The sequence below is a fragment of the Homo sapiens genome, chromosome 12 (assembly GCF_000001405.40).
Source record: "Homo sapiens chromosome 12, GRCh38.p14 Primary Assembly".
NCBI lineage: Eukaryota > Metazoa > Chordata > Mammalia > Primates > Hominidae > Homo > Homo sapiens.
Window position 1 is genome coordinate 8080334 of NC_000012.12, and position 17548 is coordinate 8097881.

General features: G+C 41.6%; 1 protein-coding gene across 2 annotated transcripts, besides 3 other annotated features; it reads left to right on the forward strand.

Annotated features, from left to right (window-relative positions):
* Positions 1203-2402: an enhancer, noted in NCBI's record as "MED14-independent group 3 enhancer chr12:8234132-8235331 (GRCh37/hg19 assembly coordinates)". NCBI's record gives its function as "activates an origin of replication core promoter dependent on BRD2, BRD4, P300/CBP and CDK7 cofactors, and independent of MED14, by STARR-seq in HCT116 cells {active_cell/tissue: HCT116}" and the evidence as "EXISTENCE:reporter gene assay evidence [ECO:0000049][PMID:35650434]".
* Positions 1834-2053: an enhancer, noted in NCBI's record as "active region_5927". NCBI's record gives its function as "activates an Ori minimal core promoter by ATAC-STARR-seq in GM12878 lymphoblastoid cells {active_cell/tissue: GM12878}" and the evidence as "EXISTENCE:reporter gene assay evidence [ECO:0000049][PMID:35858748]".
* Positions 1941-17548, forward strand: NECAP1 (NECAP endocytosis associated 1). 2 transcript variants are annotated; one of them, NM_015509.4, is made up of 8 exons: positions 1941-2050; positions 9603-9703; positions 9862-9966; positions 11436-11517; positions 12343-12451; positions 12539-12722; positions 15268-15370; positions 15709-17548. In NM_015509.4, the coding sequence occupies exons 1-8, from the start codon at positions 1956-1958 to the stop codon at positions 15755-15757; spliced, it is 828 nt and encodes a 275-aa protein (NP_056324.2). In that variant the 5' UTR covers positions 1941-1955; the 3' UTR covers positions 15758-17548. The 2 variants fall into 2 exon arrangements, 1 of the variants encoding a protein (NP_056324.2); NR_024260.2 differs by lacking the exon at positions 11436-11517.
* Positions 2124-2183: an enhancer, noted in NCBI's record as "active region_5928". NCBI's record gives its function as "activates an Ori minimal core promoter by ATAC-STARR-seq in GM12878 lymphoblastoid cells {active_cell/tissue: GM12878}" and the evidence as "EXISTENCE:reporter gene assay evidence [ECO:0000049][PMID:35858748]".

The following is a 17548-nucleotide window of genomic DNA, read 5'->3' on the forward strand; positions in this document are numbered from 1 at the left end:
CCTAGGCTTCAGATGAGATCATAGGGTCAGAAATAAGGAACAACAAGTAATAAACCACTTTTCTGTCTTTATTTTTCTTTTAACATGTATTCAGTGACAATAATAGCTATATAAATCTTAAACAACAGAGAAATATATGGAGGAGAAAATAAGTTTCTTTCCCCCACTTAGCCTTATATCCTTTGAAAGCCTTCTCAATGCATTTACATGCATGCATATATAATTTTGGGGTGTTTCGACAAAAGTTGATAATGCTGTATGTTTTTTGCAGTTGGCTTTAAAAAATCTTGGATCTCTTTCAATGGCTAACCCTTTAGTTCAAAACATCTCATAGTAATAGATATACCATTAACCATTTCCCATTGATAGATGGTCATTTTGTTTCCATTTTTTTCACTATTACAAACAATGCTGTAGTATTATTGTACATACTTTTTTGTGCATATAAGGATTTCTCTACAATATTTATTAGTGAAACTGCTAAATTGAAGATTACGTCCAATTAATATTTTGATAAATTCTGTTAATTTCCCTTTTAAAAATGCCGTGCCAATTTACATTCCTGCCAACAGTGTATGAGATTAGACTGTTCCTCACGTCCTCGCCAGGGATAAATGTGGTAATTCTTTTTGAAATTTAAGATATCACTTTCCAAGGTGGAGCAGACAAATTAGAGGCAGGTTTGCTTTTTTTTTTTTTCTCATTAAACTTTTTTAATGGGTCTCAAAATTCTGTGACAAATTTTTGGATGTTTCCATTAAAAAGTACTGATTTAAAAAACTAATAACTTAAAACTGCCACACGCAAAAAAGAAAACCAGTGGTCCACAAAACATTCTCCTTTCCTTCTGAAGAAGAAAACCAGTGGTCCACAAAACATTCTCCTTTCCTTCTGAAGGTTTTACGATGCATTGTTTTCATTAACCAGTCTTTTACTACTGAACTTAAATGGCCAGTTGAAACAAACAGTTCTGAGACCGTTCTTCCACCACTGATTAAGAGTGGGGTGGCAGGTATTAGGGATGATATTCATCTAGCCTTCTGAGCTTTCTGGGCAGACTTGGTGACCTTGCCAGCTCCAGCAGCGGTGAAGACTGCTGCTGTTGTAATGAGGCAGGCTTGAGTTTCTGTCTCAGTTTTGCCACTTGCTATCTGTACTGTCAGGGTGTTGTGGTTAAGTTTACCTTTGGGGCGCAGAAAAAGCATATTTATGGTGAGAGTTCGGTAGCATTTATCATTATAATAGAACTGGGAGCTAATATAGGCCATTAGATAGTTCATTATGCTTCCGATTTTATCAGGAATTGGGTTGATCCCACGTATAGTCTATTTAACAGGATCAAATTTTCCAAAAAGATAATCGGAATACACGCCGAAAGTGTGGCAAAACATTTTAACAGGTGTCGTCCTGAAAAATCGGAGATAAAGAGTGTAAGGCACTAAATCAAGTTGGGTGTTTTCAGCGTTTAGACTCTGGAGAGTTGAAATCCACGGTGTCTATGACCAGATCATACATCATTCTCTGCAGGTACCTCGTCTGGGACTACCGGCTGGAGGTTGCCTCTTTTCTGCCAGGAGACTACAGTTAGGAAGTGACTCCTGTAAGAAAATCCGTCACGATTCAATATGGTCCTCGTCCTCGTAGGACACTCCAGGCACCTGCCTAGAGTAAGATGGCGCTTTTCGTAAGCACCTCTCCAGGACAGAGATTTCCATAACGAGAGTCACGCACTTGCAGGCCATCTTTGCCATTATCCAAGACGGTGAGCCGTGCAGCCTCATCGTTTCCAGGTTTCAATATGGCTCCCCGCGTCACCGAAAAGGTTAATCTCAGAAACTAACTTGAACTCGCGCGGAAGTGACGCAACAGAAGTTGTCGCGCTTTGCATCTCCGCCTCCCGTGCTCCGCCTCCGGTCTTACGTTTCGCCCCCGGCAGCGCCGACAGCGGACCCAAGATGGCGACCGAGTTGGAGTACGAGTCTGTGCTGTGTGTGAAGCCAGACGTCAGCGTCTACCGGATTCCGCCCCGGGCCTCCAACCGCGGTTACAGGTACTAACCCCGAGGCGCTGCCGCACACGCGTACTCTGTCGCAGATGACAGCTTCCTTCTCAGCTAGCACGCTGTCCGTCCCTGCCACTACTACCTCTGTATTGTCACCTTGCTAGCCTCCCTACCTGGGTTGTCATCTCCCTGACCACCTGCTCCATCTCCACTCTGGACTGTCATCACCATATTTCTGCCGTTTTTTTTTTTGTTTTGTTTTTTATTAAATTACCACTCTGCGTTATTCCACTCTGCCTCTCCCGTAATCCCCTGGGGCACCCATCTGCTCCCCATCATGCACTTTCAGTCGTGCTTGCTCCATTGCCAGTCCCCTTTCATTCGCTCTTCCCTGCGTCCTTCAGCTTATCATCCTCATCCTTTCTCTCTCTCTCTCTCTCACACACACACACACACACACACACACACACACACACACACACCTTTCCAGTTCCCCATGCACATTTATGGGTAATCGTGTTGCTTGCCACTCTGGATTATCTGATTTATTTTTTGTACTGTTGTCAATTTCGTCACCAACTGTCATCATCCACCATTCGGTTTTTCCTTCAGCAGTTTTACCAGTGAGCAAAGGTTATGATCATAAGCTTTACAACGGTTGTTCATTCTGTTTCTTCTCATTGTATTTTCTTGATGATTATATAGTATTTTCTGTCTTCCTTCCCTACCTCCCTTCTTAACCTCTCCTACACCTTTTCCCTCCAAAGTTGAGGCAGCATTTTTCTCTGTTGGGCCTAACTACCTACCTTGTAATCCAATGACTGTGAGGTTCTGAGGATGCTATAGGACATTATGTAGTTGAAAGACAGTTCACTGGGCTTCATGTTAAACCATATGAGTGTGAGCCCTTTCCAAGCCTCAATTTTCTCATCTGTAAAATAGAAAAAAAAACCTGTTAGTGATGATACCTGCGCTCTTATAATGTGCTTAACAAGGGTTTTTGGGAGAGTAAAATTAAATCATATAATGGATGTGAAAGAATGTAGGAAATGCAATAAAGCAGTTACAAATACTATTTGTTTGTTCTTTTTTTTTTTTTTTTTTTTTTTTTTGAGATGTAGTCTCACTTTGTTGCCCAGGCCGGAGCGCAATGGCTCAATCTCAGCTCACTGCAACCTCCGCCTCCTGGGTTCAAGCGATTCTCCTGCTTCAGCTTCCTGAATAGTTGGGATTACACGCATGCACCACCACACCTGGCTAATTTTTGTATTTTGAGTAGAGATGGGGTTTCACCAAGTTGGCCAGGCTGGTCTTGAACTCCTGACCTTGTGATCTGCCCACCTTGGCCTCCCATAGTACTGGGATTACAGGCGTGACACCACGCCCAGCCGTCGTTTTTTTTTTTTTTTTTTTTTGTTAGAGAGGCAGGGTCTCGTTCTATCATCCAGGCTGGAGTGCAAGTGGTGCAATCACAGCTCACGGCAGCTGTGTACTCCTGGGCACAAGGGATCCTCCTACCTCAGCCTCCCAAGTTGCTAGGGCTACAGGCATTGCCTCACAATGCCTGGCTAATTTTTAAATTTTTTTGTGTAGACAGGATCTTGATATATTTCCCAGGCTGGTCTCGAACTCCTGGCCTTAAGTGATTCTCCTGCCACAGCCTCCCAAAGTGTTGAAATTACAGGTGTGGGCCACTGCACCTGGCCAAGATACTGTTCTTATTCTTCTCTCTGACCCACATCATCATTGTGATTTTTCCTCCTGGCATTTATCATTACCTTGGCTGAAAAGTTACCCTCTCCTTATGTCTGTTATTTTGCCCCTTACTGGCGTTTTATTCATCATGAATCAATATTTTTATGCTTGCTGACCTGTGCGCTGGGCCCTGTGGGTTGCACCTTTGGCAAAGAGGTAGCAGTTCTGTTTTTAATAAGCTTTTAGTTGGACCCCAAACTGACCCTAAGTAGAAATCAACATGCTTTTAGATGGTAGTTACAGGTACTATATGAGTCACTTAAACATCACCTTCTTTGGGAGGCCCTATGTGACCCTTCCATTCTGGTTTAGATATGCACCCTGTGTGCTTCCATAGCACCTTTTTCTTTTTCTTTTTTACTTTAAGTTCTGGGATACATGTGCAGAATGTGCAGGTTTGTTACATAGGTATGCATGTGCCATGGTGGTTTGCTGCACCTATCAACCTGTCATCCTCGCCCCTCCCCCGAGAGGCCCCAGTGTGTGTTGTTCCCCTCCCTGTGCCCATGCGTTCTCACTGTTCAACTCCCACTTGTGAGTGAGAACATGTGGTGTTTGGTTTTCTGTTCCTGCATAGCACTTTATTCTTATCTCTATTCCAGGGCTCTTCATTTTGTATTGTAATGGATTACAGTGGATTGTACAATGGATTGTTTAGTCTCCTTTTTTCTCCAGGCTAGACTGTGAACAACTTGAGATCTTTTTAACTTTATATTCCCAGGGTCTAGCACAGTATCTGGTACACTTTGGGCACCCTGTAAATGTTGACTGAAAGAAGAAATCAGTAGATTACACAGAGAAACCTAATCACATAAAGTGGCATTGATTGAACTGTTAAATAAGGTCAAATAGCTCATTACTTCCAACTTTAGGAGTTAAGACTCCTAAAGGATATGATACATATTGAAGTGGGATTATATTCTTTTTCTTGAAGTTTTTTTTTTTTTGAGATGGAGTCTGGCTGTGTTGCCCAGGCTGGAGTGCGCTGGCGCAATCTCAGCTCGCCACAACCTCCGCCTCCCCGGTTCAAGTGATTTTCCTGCCTCAGCCTCCCAAGTAGCTGGGACTACAGGCACGTGCCACTATGCCCAGCTAATTTTTGTATATTTAGTAGAGACGGGGTTTCACTGTGTTGGCCAGGCTGGTCTCAAACTCTTGACCTCGTGATCCGCCTGCCTTGGCCTCCCAAAGTGCTGGGATTACAGGCGTGAGCCACCGCACCCGGCCTACTTCAAGCTTTTTAAAACACCTCCCCTCTCACCCATCTTCTCTATCTTCACTTCTTAGTTTTCCACAACCTTTATACTTACATCAGTTAACTGCACTGAGCCATTAAAGCAGTTTCTTAATTTTCCTCTTTTTCCTGTTATCCTTCTGTGTTTTCCATGTCTACTGGCATTTTTTATCCTCCAAGAGGCACCTTATCATCAATCACTTTTTTAGTACAGCACATGAAGAGAGCGGAATTAAGTTTGAATAACGATATTTATTTGCTGGGTTACCTTTGGCAAATCACCACTTTTGAATGTTAGTTTCTTCATTTGTAAAAATGACTATAACAATACTTACCTTGTAGGATCCTCTCACTTAATCTTCTTTTTTTTTTTTTTTTTTTTTTTTTTTTTGTTGTTGAGACAGAGTCTCGCTCTGTCACCCAGGCTGGCGTACAATGGTGTGATCATGGCTCACTGCAATCTGTGCCTCCCAGATTCAACTGATTCTCGTGCCTCAGCCTCCTGAGTAGTTGAGATTACAGATGTGCACTGCCATGCTTGGCTAATTTTTTGTATTTTTAGTAGAGATGGGGTTTCACCATGTTGGCCAGGCTGGTCTTGAACTCCTGGCCTCAGGCAATCCACCCACCTCAACCTCCCAAAGTGCTGGGATTACAGGCATGAGCCACTGCGCCTGGCCCTTTCACTTAATTTTCACGAGAATGGGCATAATGCCTGGCACATAATAAATGCTTGATAAATGCTGGTTTTCTTTTTGTTTGCATAATCTTTCTTATTTACCAGAACCCACTTTATATTATAAGCAGGATTTATTCTCTAGGCTGACATTAAAGGACAAACTGGGCTTTTTAGAAAGCAGGAGGAATTTTTCCTTTGAGTGACTGGTAAGATTAGAGAGAATAATTGATTTTAATTCACCTAGTGTAAGCTGTTCGTTCCCAGACTTTCACTGACCAGACTTCTAGACTATGGGAAGGAAAATTTGGGTTGACAAGAAACTTATCAGGCTGAGTGCGGTGGCTCATATCTGTAATCCCAGGACTTTGGGAGGCCGAGGCGCACGGATCACTTAAGGTCAGGAGTTCCAGACCAGCCTGGCCAACATGGTGAAACCCCGTCTCTACAAAAATACAAAAAACTTAGCCAGCCGTGGTGGCGCACACCTGTAGTCCCAGCTACCTGGGAGGCTGAGGCAGTAGAATTGTTTGAACCCGGGAGGCGGAGGTTGCAATGAGCTGAGATCATGCCACTGCTCTCCAGCCTAGGCGACAGAGCAGGACTGCGTCTCAAAACAAACAAAAAGGAAACTTACAAATGCTTAGAAAACAATCTGGGTGCGGTGGCTCACTCCTGTAATCCCAGCACTTGGGGAGGCCAAGGCGGGCGGATTTCCTGAAGTCAGGAGTTTGAGACCAGCCTGGCCAACTTGGTGGAACCCCGTCTTTACTAAAAATACAAAAGAAATTAGCTGGGCATGGTGGCCTGTGCCTGTAATCTCAGCTACTCAGGAGGCTGAGGCAAGAGAATTGCTTGAACCCGAGGTTGCAGTTAGCCAAGATCGCGCCATTGCACTCCAGCCTGGGTGGAAGAGTGAGACTCTATTACACACACACACACACACACACACACACACACAAATAAATAAATGGTTAGAAAACAGTTTTCCAACCTATAAAACTATTTTTTTTTAAAAAAAAATTCTTCACTACCCTCTTCCCTTAGCTAAATCAATATTAACCTCTATAATGCGTTTCAGTGTAATGAAAGAATAATGGACTTTAAAGTTAGGCATTATTACTTACTGTGTTATCCTTTCCATCATTTAGAGAGAAAGAGAGGTATGACAGGCTTTTCATGCCTATTTCACATATCTACTATAAGGACATAATAAGATGTACATTTGGAATCTTACTGTGAATCATCATAGTGGTTTTTTATTTATATATATATAAAGTTTTATTACTAAGGTAAATGAAAATTTGTAAGGTAAGTTAAAAGTATTGTCAGAGGACAAGCAAAATCAAGAGTTCTTTAGATTAGGTCTTGGAGTAGGAAAGGAACTAAGGCTCAAGGCTGAGGGAATCTGCTGCCATGAATATCCATTTACTTACAGAATTTGTTAAGTATCGGACACTAGATACACAAGAGAAATAAGGAACTCATCCAAGAAAAACACATTTAATAGACTTGTTCCTAATTTTTTTTTTTTTTTTTTAGAGACAGGGTCTCACCCTGTTGCTCAGGCTGGAGTGCAGTGGGGCGATCATAGCTCACTGCAACCTCAAATTCTTAGGCTCAGGCAGTCCTCCTGCCTTGGCCTCCCAAAGTGCTGGTTATAGGCGTGAGCCACGGTGCCTGGCTGTTCCTAATATTTTTAATAGCCCATTTACATGAGCTCTTGGTGGCATGATTATAATAAGTAATAACTCATTAATATAATAGATGAGGAACTTTAGAGCTCTCTAATCTGGATCAGATTTAGGTACTTGAGGGTCTTTGAGGGCAGGGAATCAAGAGGGAAGAGAATGGGAAGGACTTATTTTACAGATCCTGTTCAAAACCTGTGCTAATTTTCACTTTCATTTTCCTCCTTTCAGCTTTTTACCTCTCATCTTGTTAAACTCATTCTTGTTCAAATATACCTTGTGGTTGCTTTTTTAGTCTTTAAGTATTAGTCTTTGGTTTCTTAGAAGATGAATTATTAATAACTTTTACTTTGCTAATCTGTTTTCCATACTCCTGGCAAAACAAATCACAAATACAATGTTTTGTAAAATTCATCATAAATAATCTTAGTTGTTGTTCAAGTTGATTATAACACGTTTTATAAATTTCTGATGTTTTCATGGCCGTTTGTATCTCCAGCCCAGATGTCTTTCTTGAACTCGTCTCATATATTTTACTGCCTACTCTACATCTCTTGAAAATCTACTAGACATCTCAAACTCAGCATATTTAAAACTGAATCCCTGATCCTTCTTCCTAGATGTGTTCCTTCTCATCTCAATAATTGGCAACTCTTTGCTCAGGCTAAACACCTTGGAGTTGTCCTTGGCTTCTATCCCCTATCTAATCCATTAGAAAATCCTGCTGCTTTTACCCTAAATATATCCTTCTCTTCTATCCCATATCTAATCCATTAGAAAATCCTGCTACTTTTACCCTAAATATATCCAGAATATAGCCACTTCTGCTACCATTGTGACTTTTCTAGATTACTGCAGTAGTCTCTTAGCTAATCCCCCTGCTTCAGTCCTCTTATCCCAACAGCTTTTCTCCAGACAGCAGATGTAGTAATCTTTTTAGAATATAAGGGAGATCATGTCACACCTCTGCTTAAAATTTGTAATAGCTCTTTTTTCACTCAGAGTGAAAGCTGAAGTTGTTACTATGACCCACAAGGCCCTGCGTGATCTGGCCGTCTGTTACCTCTCCCACCTTGTCTCTTCCTCTGTTCTAACCACAGTGCTTCCTTGTTGTCTCTCAAACATGCCAGGCATGCCCCCACCGTAGCACCTTTGGGCTAGCTGTTCCTTATGTCTAGAATGCTTTTCCCCCAGACATCTGTATGGATAACTCTCTTGCTTCACATTCTAGCTCACATTTCACCTTAATGAGACCTACCCCAACCACCCTCTTGAATGCTACAACTTGTTCATTCTCCCACTGTCTTCTTAATCTTCCTAATTTGCCTCTACATTTTCTTTTTACCTTAGAACTCACCACTTTCTAAGATACTAATTATGCTGTTTATTATGTTTCTTTTTTATTTTCTATCTTCTGTTAGGATGTAAGCCTCATGAGGGTTGGAATCTTTGTTTTGGTTGCTGTTGTATCCTAAGCATCTGGAACAGTGATGCATCTGTCCTAATAAGTACTGTATAAATATTGATTGAATTCAGTGAAAGATAGTATATTTACTGATTTGGGAGGGCTCCCATTACCTAGGATATTTAATGTAGTAGACTTTGTTGTTATCTGATTAGTAAAGCATGGTTATCTAGTATACCATCTATAGTTTGAAAATAGCATCGTTATGAGAAATTTTATTTATTTCTTTATTTGAGACCAAGTCTCGTTCTGTCGCCCAGGCTGGAGAGCGGTGGCGCAGTCTCGGCTCACTGCAGCCTCCACCTCCCAGGTTCAGTTGATTCTGCCTCAGCCTCCCAAGGGATTTCAGGCGCACGCCACCATAACCAGCTAATTTTTGTATTTTTAGAAGACGGGGTTTCACCGTGTTGGCCAGACTGGTCTCAAACTCCTGACCTCAAGTGATCCACCCACCTTGGCCTCCCAAAGTGCTGGGATTACAGGCTTGAGCCACCATGCTCGGCCAGAATTTTATTTTTTATTGCTTTTATTCGTGCTTTTCCATCTTTTTAATGATGCTTATTGGACTCCAAAGTCCTCAAGTAGTAGCATTGTCTTTTACTTGCTTTGGACTGTATGTAACATGAGGCATCTAAATAGATCATGAATTATTCTTGTTGATTAATAGGTAGAAAGAATAGGCAATCCAGGATAGGGAAATAGAAATACAGTCAAAGATTGTGGGTGGGCGTTAGTAAATTAAGGACATGTGCCTGAGGCTTCCTCTTTTCCTGTCCTAGGGCCTCTGACTGGAAATTAGACCAGCCTGATTGGACTGGTCGCCTCCGAATCACTTCAAAAGGGAAGACTGCCTATATCAAACTCGAGGATAAAGTTTCAGGTAATCTTTGCGGGTGACCCTCTAACATTAAGAATATTAATTTGGTGTGCTTTTATAAGTACCTTCAATTTGGGGACTGGAATGGAAATACTACTTGTTAATTGGGGTTCTGGATTTTGGCTTGCTTTACTCAAAAAAGTCTTTCTCTTATCTGTCAGGGGAGCTCTTTGCTCAGGCACCAGTAGAACAATATCCTGGTATTGCTGTGGAGACGGTGACAGATTCTAGCCGCTACTTTGTAATCCGGATCCAGGATGGTACTGGTAAGAGAACTGGGATTTTGAGTGGAACGAAGTTAGGAAAACAGGTGAATGCACAGCCATGAAAAGTGTTTCCGATTGCATTTATCTTTCTTTGGTTTACTTCATTTTTTCTTCCCTTTCTCTAAAGTTGCTCTAGTTGCTAAAGGAAAAGTATTAACATGTTATTTGTAATAGATAAGCACGAGTTCAAGATGTGGTAATTCATATGTAGACTTAAATAAATGAAAAACACATATCTAACAAATGAATTAACACATTTGGCACTTTAGGAGGCCGAGGTGGGTGGATCACCTGAGGTCAGGAGTTTGAGGCCAGCCTGACCAATATGATGAAACCCTGTCGCTACTGAAAATAAAAAATTAGCCAGGCGTGGTGGCAGGTGCCTGTAATCCCGGCTACTCGGGTGGCTGAGACAGGAGAATCACTTGAATTGGGGAAGTGGAGGTTGCCGAGATCACGCCATTGCACTCCAGCCTGGGCAACAAGAGCAAAACTCCATCTCAAAAAAAAAAAAAAGAATGAACACTTTTTGCCCGTTTATTGTTCGTGGTAGTTTTTGGTGGGACTATCTTGAATCATCTTACGTGTGGGGCAGTCATTCTTACTCTTTTCTCCATGGTCTATAACAGAGGTTGGCAAACAGACAAATAATAAATGTTTTAGGTTTTGCAGGTCAGGTGGCCTCTGTTGCAACTACTCAGTTTTGCTGTTGTAGTGTGAAATCACTGTAGAAAATATGTAAACACATTGATACCACTATGTTCCATGAAACTTCTTCTACAAAACCAGGCTATGGCAGGATAAAGCCCATGGGCTCTATGTAGTTTATCGACTCTTGGTCTATGAGAAGATATTTCACATTCAGACTTTGTCTAGTTAGGGTGACTGTTATATTTTCATTGGGCAAAATTTGCCATAGAGCAGCAGTCCTCAACCTTTTTGGCACCAGGGACCCGTTTTGTGGAAGACAGTTTTCCACAGACCGGCATTAGGGGATGGTTTCAGGATGATTCAAGTGCATCACATTTATTGTACACTTTATTTCTATTATTATTACATTGTAATGTATAATGAAATAATTATACAACTCACTATAATGTAGAATCAGCGGGAGCCTTGGGCTTGTTTTCCTGCAACTAGACGGGGGTGATGGGAGACAGTGACAGATCATCAGGCATCAGATTCTCATAGGGAGCTCATAACCTAGATCCCTCACATGTGCAGTTCACAGTAGGGTTCACACCCCTCTGAGAATCTAATGCTGCCACTGATCTGACAGGAGGCGGAGCTCAGGTGGTCATGCAAGTGACGGGGAGCGGCTGTAAATACAATGAAGCTTTGCTCTCTCGTGTGCAACTCACCTCCTGCTGCATGGCCTGGTTTCTAACAGGCCACAGACTGGTGCCGGGGGTTGGGGGCTCCTGCCATAGAGGATACTTCCTAGTCGAGTCTTCCTACGTTTTCCACAGGGCGCAGTGCTTTCATTGGCATTGGCTTCACAGATCGGGGAGATGCCTTCGACTTTAATGTCTCCTTGCAGGATCACTTCAAGTGAGTGAAGCTTGTCCTTAGTTACGAGGCTGAATGCTTATAGGAATGCTGCTTCTCACATGAATGGGCAGTATCTCTTTTCCTCCTGGTTTCTTTGTTTCTTAAACTATTTCATTGTGAATATAAATCTCCCCATTCACTTTTGTTTCCTTAGGTCATCTTTGTATCTATTCTGTTTCCTTTCCTTATAGCCTGCAATATATTTCAGATCCCTTGTGCAGTAGTTTGAAATGATGCTCTGTCGAATTTGCCCCGTCTTTTAGGTGGTAGAGGGAGGCCTATGGTAACAGCAGGGCTTTATGTGGGGAGTCGTGTGCCACTCTTGTTACCTTATGTAGCTGACATGTTTTGTGACTTTTGCAACATTTCTTTAGCCCACTTGATTTTGGTGCAGCTGTGGTTGACAGCACTGTGCACACTGTCAGCTTCCTACCTCAAGAGCAAGCATATCTCTCCTTTTCTGCCTTAGGACTCTCTGAAGTTATAGAAAGCTAAGAGCAAGCTTTAACTTGGAAAGACTAAGAAACTAACACCCCCTCAGGAGCAGCCCTCAACTGTGGGGAATGGGAATTGGTGGCTAAATACCATCCTTCTGGAAGGGGCAATTCTAATACGTATTCCGTGAGATTTCTCAGAGAGTCCCCAGTGGAATTGAACCCCAGTTGTTTTCTTTCTTGGCTTTTTTCCCTTCTGTTTCTCACTCTTTTTTATCTCTCACTGTGTTTTCTGGAATCTCATTTCATAAAAGTAAATACACCCAAATTTGTATGTCAGACTCTGCTTTCAGGAAATCTCAAACTAAGATAACTTGCTGTGTTCCCAAAGGTGGGTAAAGCAGGAATCTGAGATTTCCAAGGAATCTCAAGAAATGGATGCTCGTCCTAAGTTGGATCTGGGCTTCAAGGAAGGACAAACCATCAAGTTGTGTATCGGGGTGAGTATGGTTTTTAAAAATTTTGTTTTCCTGTGCTTCCATAAGCCTATGACATCTTTCTCTTGCTCTTCTTTTTTTCTTTTGTAGAACATTACAAACAAGAAAGGAGGTGCTTCTAAGCCCAGGACTGCAAGGGGTGGGGGTCTGAGCTTACTCCCACCCCCGCCAGGAGGCAAAGTCACTATTCCCCCACCATCCTCCTCAGTTGCCATCAGCAATCATGTCACCCCACCACCCATTCCGAAATCTAACCATGGAGGCAGTGATGCAGGTAAATCTAGTACTTCTAATTTTGAGAAATCCAATCTTATGTTTTAATTAAGCAACACCTGTTTGTCAAGGAGAGTTAATGTTTTTGCTATGAAATAGCTCATGGTACTGACAAGGTGATTCTGTCAGCTTCTAGCAAGGAATCAAAGCTTTTCTAGTGAACTAAGAGTCATAGTATCTCATAGGTTCTTTGGCAGAAAATATTTGCTTATTAAAATGACAATTTCCTTCATTTTTTTCTTGGTTAGATGCTTATAAGCTTTTGAGTCAGATGGACCAAGATTTTGGTCATGGCTCTGCTACTTTATATTTGAATGTGCTTGGTAAACATTACTTAAGTTTTTTGAGTTTCAATTGCCTTATCTACAAACTGGAGATGTAAAACCACCCCAGCGGGGACCTTGGCTCATGCCTGTAATCCCAGCACTTTGGGAGGCTGAGGTGGGTGGATTGCTTAAGCTTAGGAGTTTGAGATCAGCCTGGGCAACATGATGAAATCCCATCTCTACAAAAAAAATACAAACATTAGTTGGACGTGGTGGTGCACGCCTGTAGACCCAGCTATTTGGGAGGCTGAGGTGGGAGGATGGCTTGAGTCTGGGAGGCTGCAGTGAACCATGATTGTGCCACTGTACTCCAGTGTGGGTGACAGAGTGGGACCTTGTCTCATAAAAAAACAAAGAAACAAACAAAAATAAATAAATAAATAAATAGATAAAATAAAATAATTACCACCCCAAGGTCATGAGGGTTAAATGATTGACAGCACCTAGCATAGCACTTGGAACATAGTAGGCATTTAGTAAATGTTATTAAACTTTCCCATTTCTTCACAAGAGCAATTGGGAGAAAAGAAGATATCTAGGTTTGTCCATACACTTTCATTCTTTCTTTCTGTTTGGTGGGAGAAAGAATAAATATGGTTATATCTTCTCATTTGAAAAATGAGAGCATTGGAACTGAGAAAAGAATTTTTCTGAGATTAGAGAACTGTGTCTTAGAATCTGAGAATTTTAACTTAATGTATTGGACAGTGCAGATAATTTGTTGAATTGATTACTAAGGGTAAGCTTTCTCTTTCTGGAATTTTTGAGGTGAAAATATTATAGCCTGCTTCTTTTGGTAAGTGTTGCCAGAAGCCACTGGGGATAGTATCTAAGATTTTTTTTAAATTAAATTATTATTTTGAGATAATCGTAGATTAACATGCAGTTGTAAGAAATAATATGAAGAGATCCTGTTTACCCTTTTCCCAGTTTCCCTCAATTGGTAATATTTTGTGGAACTATTGTCAAGTATCACAAATGAAAAATTGATGTTGATACCACTTTCTCATCTTACTCAGCTTACACCATTTTACATGTTCTCATCTGTGTATATTTGTGTGGATCTGTATATTTAGTTCTATGCAGGATTTTTTGTTATTTTTTGAGATAGGGTCTCACACTGTTGCCCAGGCTAGAGTACAGTGGTGCAGTCATAGCTCACTGCAGCCTCAAACTCCTGGGCTCAAGAGATCCTTCTGCGTCAGCCTCCCAAACATCTGGGACTACAGGTGCACACTGCCACACCAAGCTAATTTTTTAATTTTTGTAGCAACAGAGTCTCACTACGTTGCCCAGGCTGGCCTTGAACTTCTGGACTTCAGTGATCCTCCTGCCTTGGCCCCCTAAAATGCTGGGATTACAGGTGTGAGCCACTGCATCTGGCCAGTTCTTTGCAGTTTTGTCATGTGTAGGTTCATGGATCCACCATCATTTCAGGTTATAGAACAGTTTAATCACTACAAAGATCCCCTGTGTCAACCTTACACAACCACACCCATCTCCCTCTCATCCTTTCTTCCCCCATTCCTAACGCTTGGCAATCACCAGTCTGTTCTCCATCTTTATAATTTTGTCACTTCAGGAATGTTCTATGAAAGGAATCATACAGCATGTAACCTTTGGGACAGGCTTTTCCCACTCAGCATAATTCCCTTGAGATTCATTCAAGTTGTGTGTCAATAGTCTGTTTCTTTTTATTGCTGAATAGTATTCCATGGTATGGATATACCAGTGTGTGTAACTATTGCCCATGGAATGACATCTAGGTTGTTTACAGTTTTTGACCATTATGAATAAAGCTGCCGTGGCATTTGTATACAGATTTTTGTGCAAACATAAATTCTCATCTCCAAGATTTTTTTTTTTTTTTTTTTTTTTTGAGACGGAGTCTCGCTCTGTCGCCCAGGCCGGACTGCGGACTGCAGTGGCGCAATCTCGGCTCACTGCAAGCTCCGCTTCCCGGGTTCACGCCATTCTCCTGCCTCAGCCTCCCGAGTAGCTGGGACTACAGGCGCCCGCCACCGCGCCCGGCTAATTTTTTGTATTTTTAGTAGAGACGGGGTTTCACCTTGTTAGCCAGGATGGTCTCGATCTCCTGACCTCATGATCCACCCGCCTCGGCCTCCCAAAGTGCTGGGATTACAGGCGTGAGCCACCGCGCCCGGCCCTTCCAAGATTTTGATTATGTTTTTCTTTTTTCTTTTCTTACCTTGTGTTTAGATATCCTTTTAGATTTGGATTCTCCTGCTCCTGTCACGACACCAGCACCAACTCCAGTTTCTGTAAGCAATGACTTGTGGGGAGACTTCAGCACTGCCTCCAGGTAATGGGCATAGTGAAACTAGCATACTCTCAATCAGGGTGTAGGAGATATGTACAGTCAATTGAAATCTTTGATCTGGAGAAGCAATGGATATGCAGGTCACATAGAGTCTTTTGGAAGAGTTCTAGTGAAGGAAATATAGTAGTGCTGGGAATGGGGGGACAAAAAAGCTGTAGGATGAGGTTTGAGTGGGATATTTCAGGCCTTTGTAAGTAGAATTGCCATGAAGTGTGGTTTTGGAAATTCTAGGCAGTGATTTCTTAGAAACTATTAAGTAAAGAATGGAGTTGTTATCCTAATATTATGTCTCTGGCTTTCTCTGTTCTCCTGTCTTGCAGCTCTGTTCCAAACCAGGCACCACAGCCATCCAACTGGGTCCAGTTCTGAATGGCATTGGCAGGACATTAAGGACAGACTTGAGGAATAAAAATGACCTTGAGGGCACCAATCTGTGAGGGAAGTTAGGAACCCATTTCCTCCCCAGAACCAGAATGACTGGACAATCTTTTTCATAGCTTCTCCATCACATTCAAGCTGGTTTATGTCACTCCCCTGTGTTGTTACTTGTACAGCCAAGAAAGTATCTGTTATCTCCTGCGTAGTACCAAGGTAGGGGACTAGTGGATCTTATCATAGTTTTGGCTGACTATGCAGGGCTTAAAAGGCCAGCGTCTGTTTGAGGGGGAATGACCTCTAACATCTGTAAAATTTGTCTCATCTTTTAATTTCTTTAACTTATTTCAAAATCATCTCATGACCCTTGTGTGCCTCTTTGTGAAGCCCTATTTAGCAATTTCAGGGGAGTCAAAAACCTTGCAACTTCCTTCTCCACTAACCCAGGACTAAAAATGGACAGGCTGACCTCAGTGTTTACAAATTCAGAATTTTGATAGGGGTAGATATGGAGAAAGACCTATTTCCTGGGTCTCTGCTGTGTAGTCTCCTTCAGGCTTATTGTGCTCAGTGAACATCCAGTGCTGGGTGCAGCTCCATCACCCTCTTGTGTGTTTACATGTCTCTTTCTATGATAAGAGGGTTGTGTTGGTGGCACCTCCACTACTCTTTTCTGTTTGTTGAGTTTGAATTGTGTTAACATCTTTGATCAGTGGGTGTATCTGTAATGAAGGAGGTTCAAGAGGCTGTGCTTTCCAAGTGATAGTCTATAGGAGTGTTTAATTTCTTGCAGCTCCATCTGGTTGCTGCATTTGAAGCATGGCATTAATTTGTATTTGCCCTGTTCTTTGACCTAAAGTTGAAGGGTTTAGAGTTTTTAACCTGATCTGTAGAGCAGAGAGGTTGAAAGCACTTAACTCTTGTTTAGTATCCTCATTGCCTTGCTGCCTGGGTATCTGGCCCCTTTCCATAAACATTTCTTTTCAGTTCATGTAGTTCTTTAATAGAAAGCTGCTATTATGTATATTGTCATTTGTGAAGGAAGTTGGAGAGTCACAGCTTTACTGTGACAGGTTTTGCCCAAGGCTTTGATACCTGTCACCCAGGGTATCTTAAAAGCAAGTTGTTCTCCCACTACTTTCCTTTCCCTCTGCCCTGCCATTCCTATTACAATGCTGTGAAAAAAGTTCTGCTTCTTAGGTGAATGGGTACTTTCTATTTTGTTTCTAAACGAGCAATTTTGAGGATGAAATGGGAAGATATCATTGCTTCCTTTTTGCACCTATTGGGTATGTACACTCTGGCCGAAGGGAGTCCTTATGTTTAGTTTCAAAATATATTACTTTCCTGGATTCTCTTCTTCACTTTTTCTGACTTTGGGTCCATTTTCTTTTCATTGCCTCCTTTTCCAGGCAGCTCTATTCTTGCAGAGCCATAGCAGGACATGTTAAAATTCCAATAGAAAACACTAAAAGGAAAGTCTGTGGAATCACTAGTGACTAAATACTGGGAACCTATTTTCTCAATCTTCCTCCATGTTGTGTTCTTTGTATTCTTGAGATGATAATATATTATGTATTTGAATTCCTGAAAAATGGAAAATGTTTAAGATATATGTATATAAAGTGTATGCTGTATTGGTGCAATAATGGTAATTAAAAATATGAAAAAAGTGTCTCTTTTATCTTTTAATTTGCTTATTTGATTACCTTTTAAATTTAATTGACCAAATATAAGTGGACCAGTAGTTAATAAAGGATATTTATATCACTCTTTATTAAGAAA

Bases quoted from the DNA above. Each gene is read 5' to 3' on its own strand.
- NECAP1 (NM_015509.4), top strand. From the start codon at position 1,956: ATGGCGACCGAGTTGGAGTACGAGTCTGTGCTGTGTGTGAAGCCAGAC. The intron at 9,967-11,435 runs GTAAGAGAACTG...CGTTTTCCACAG, and splicing joins CCGGATCCAGGATGGTACTG to GGCGCAGTGCTTTCATTGGC. The intron at 12,723-15,267 runs GTAAATCTAGTA...CCTTGTGTTTAG, and splicing joins CCATGGAGGCAGTGATGCAG to ATATCCTTTTAGATTTGGAT.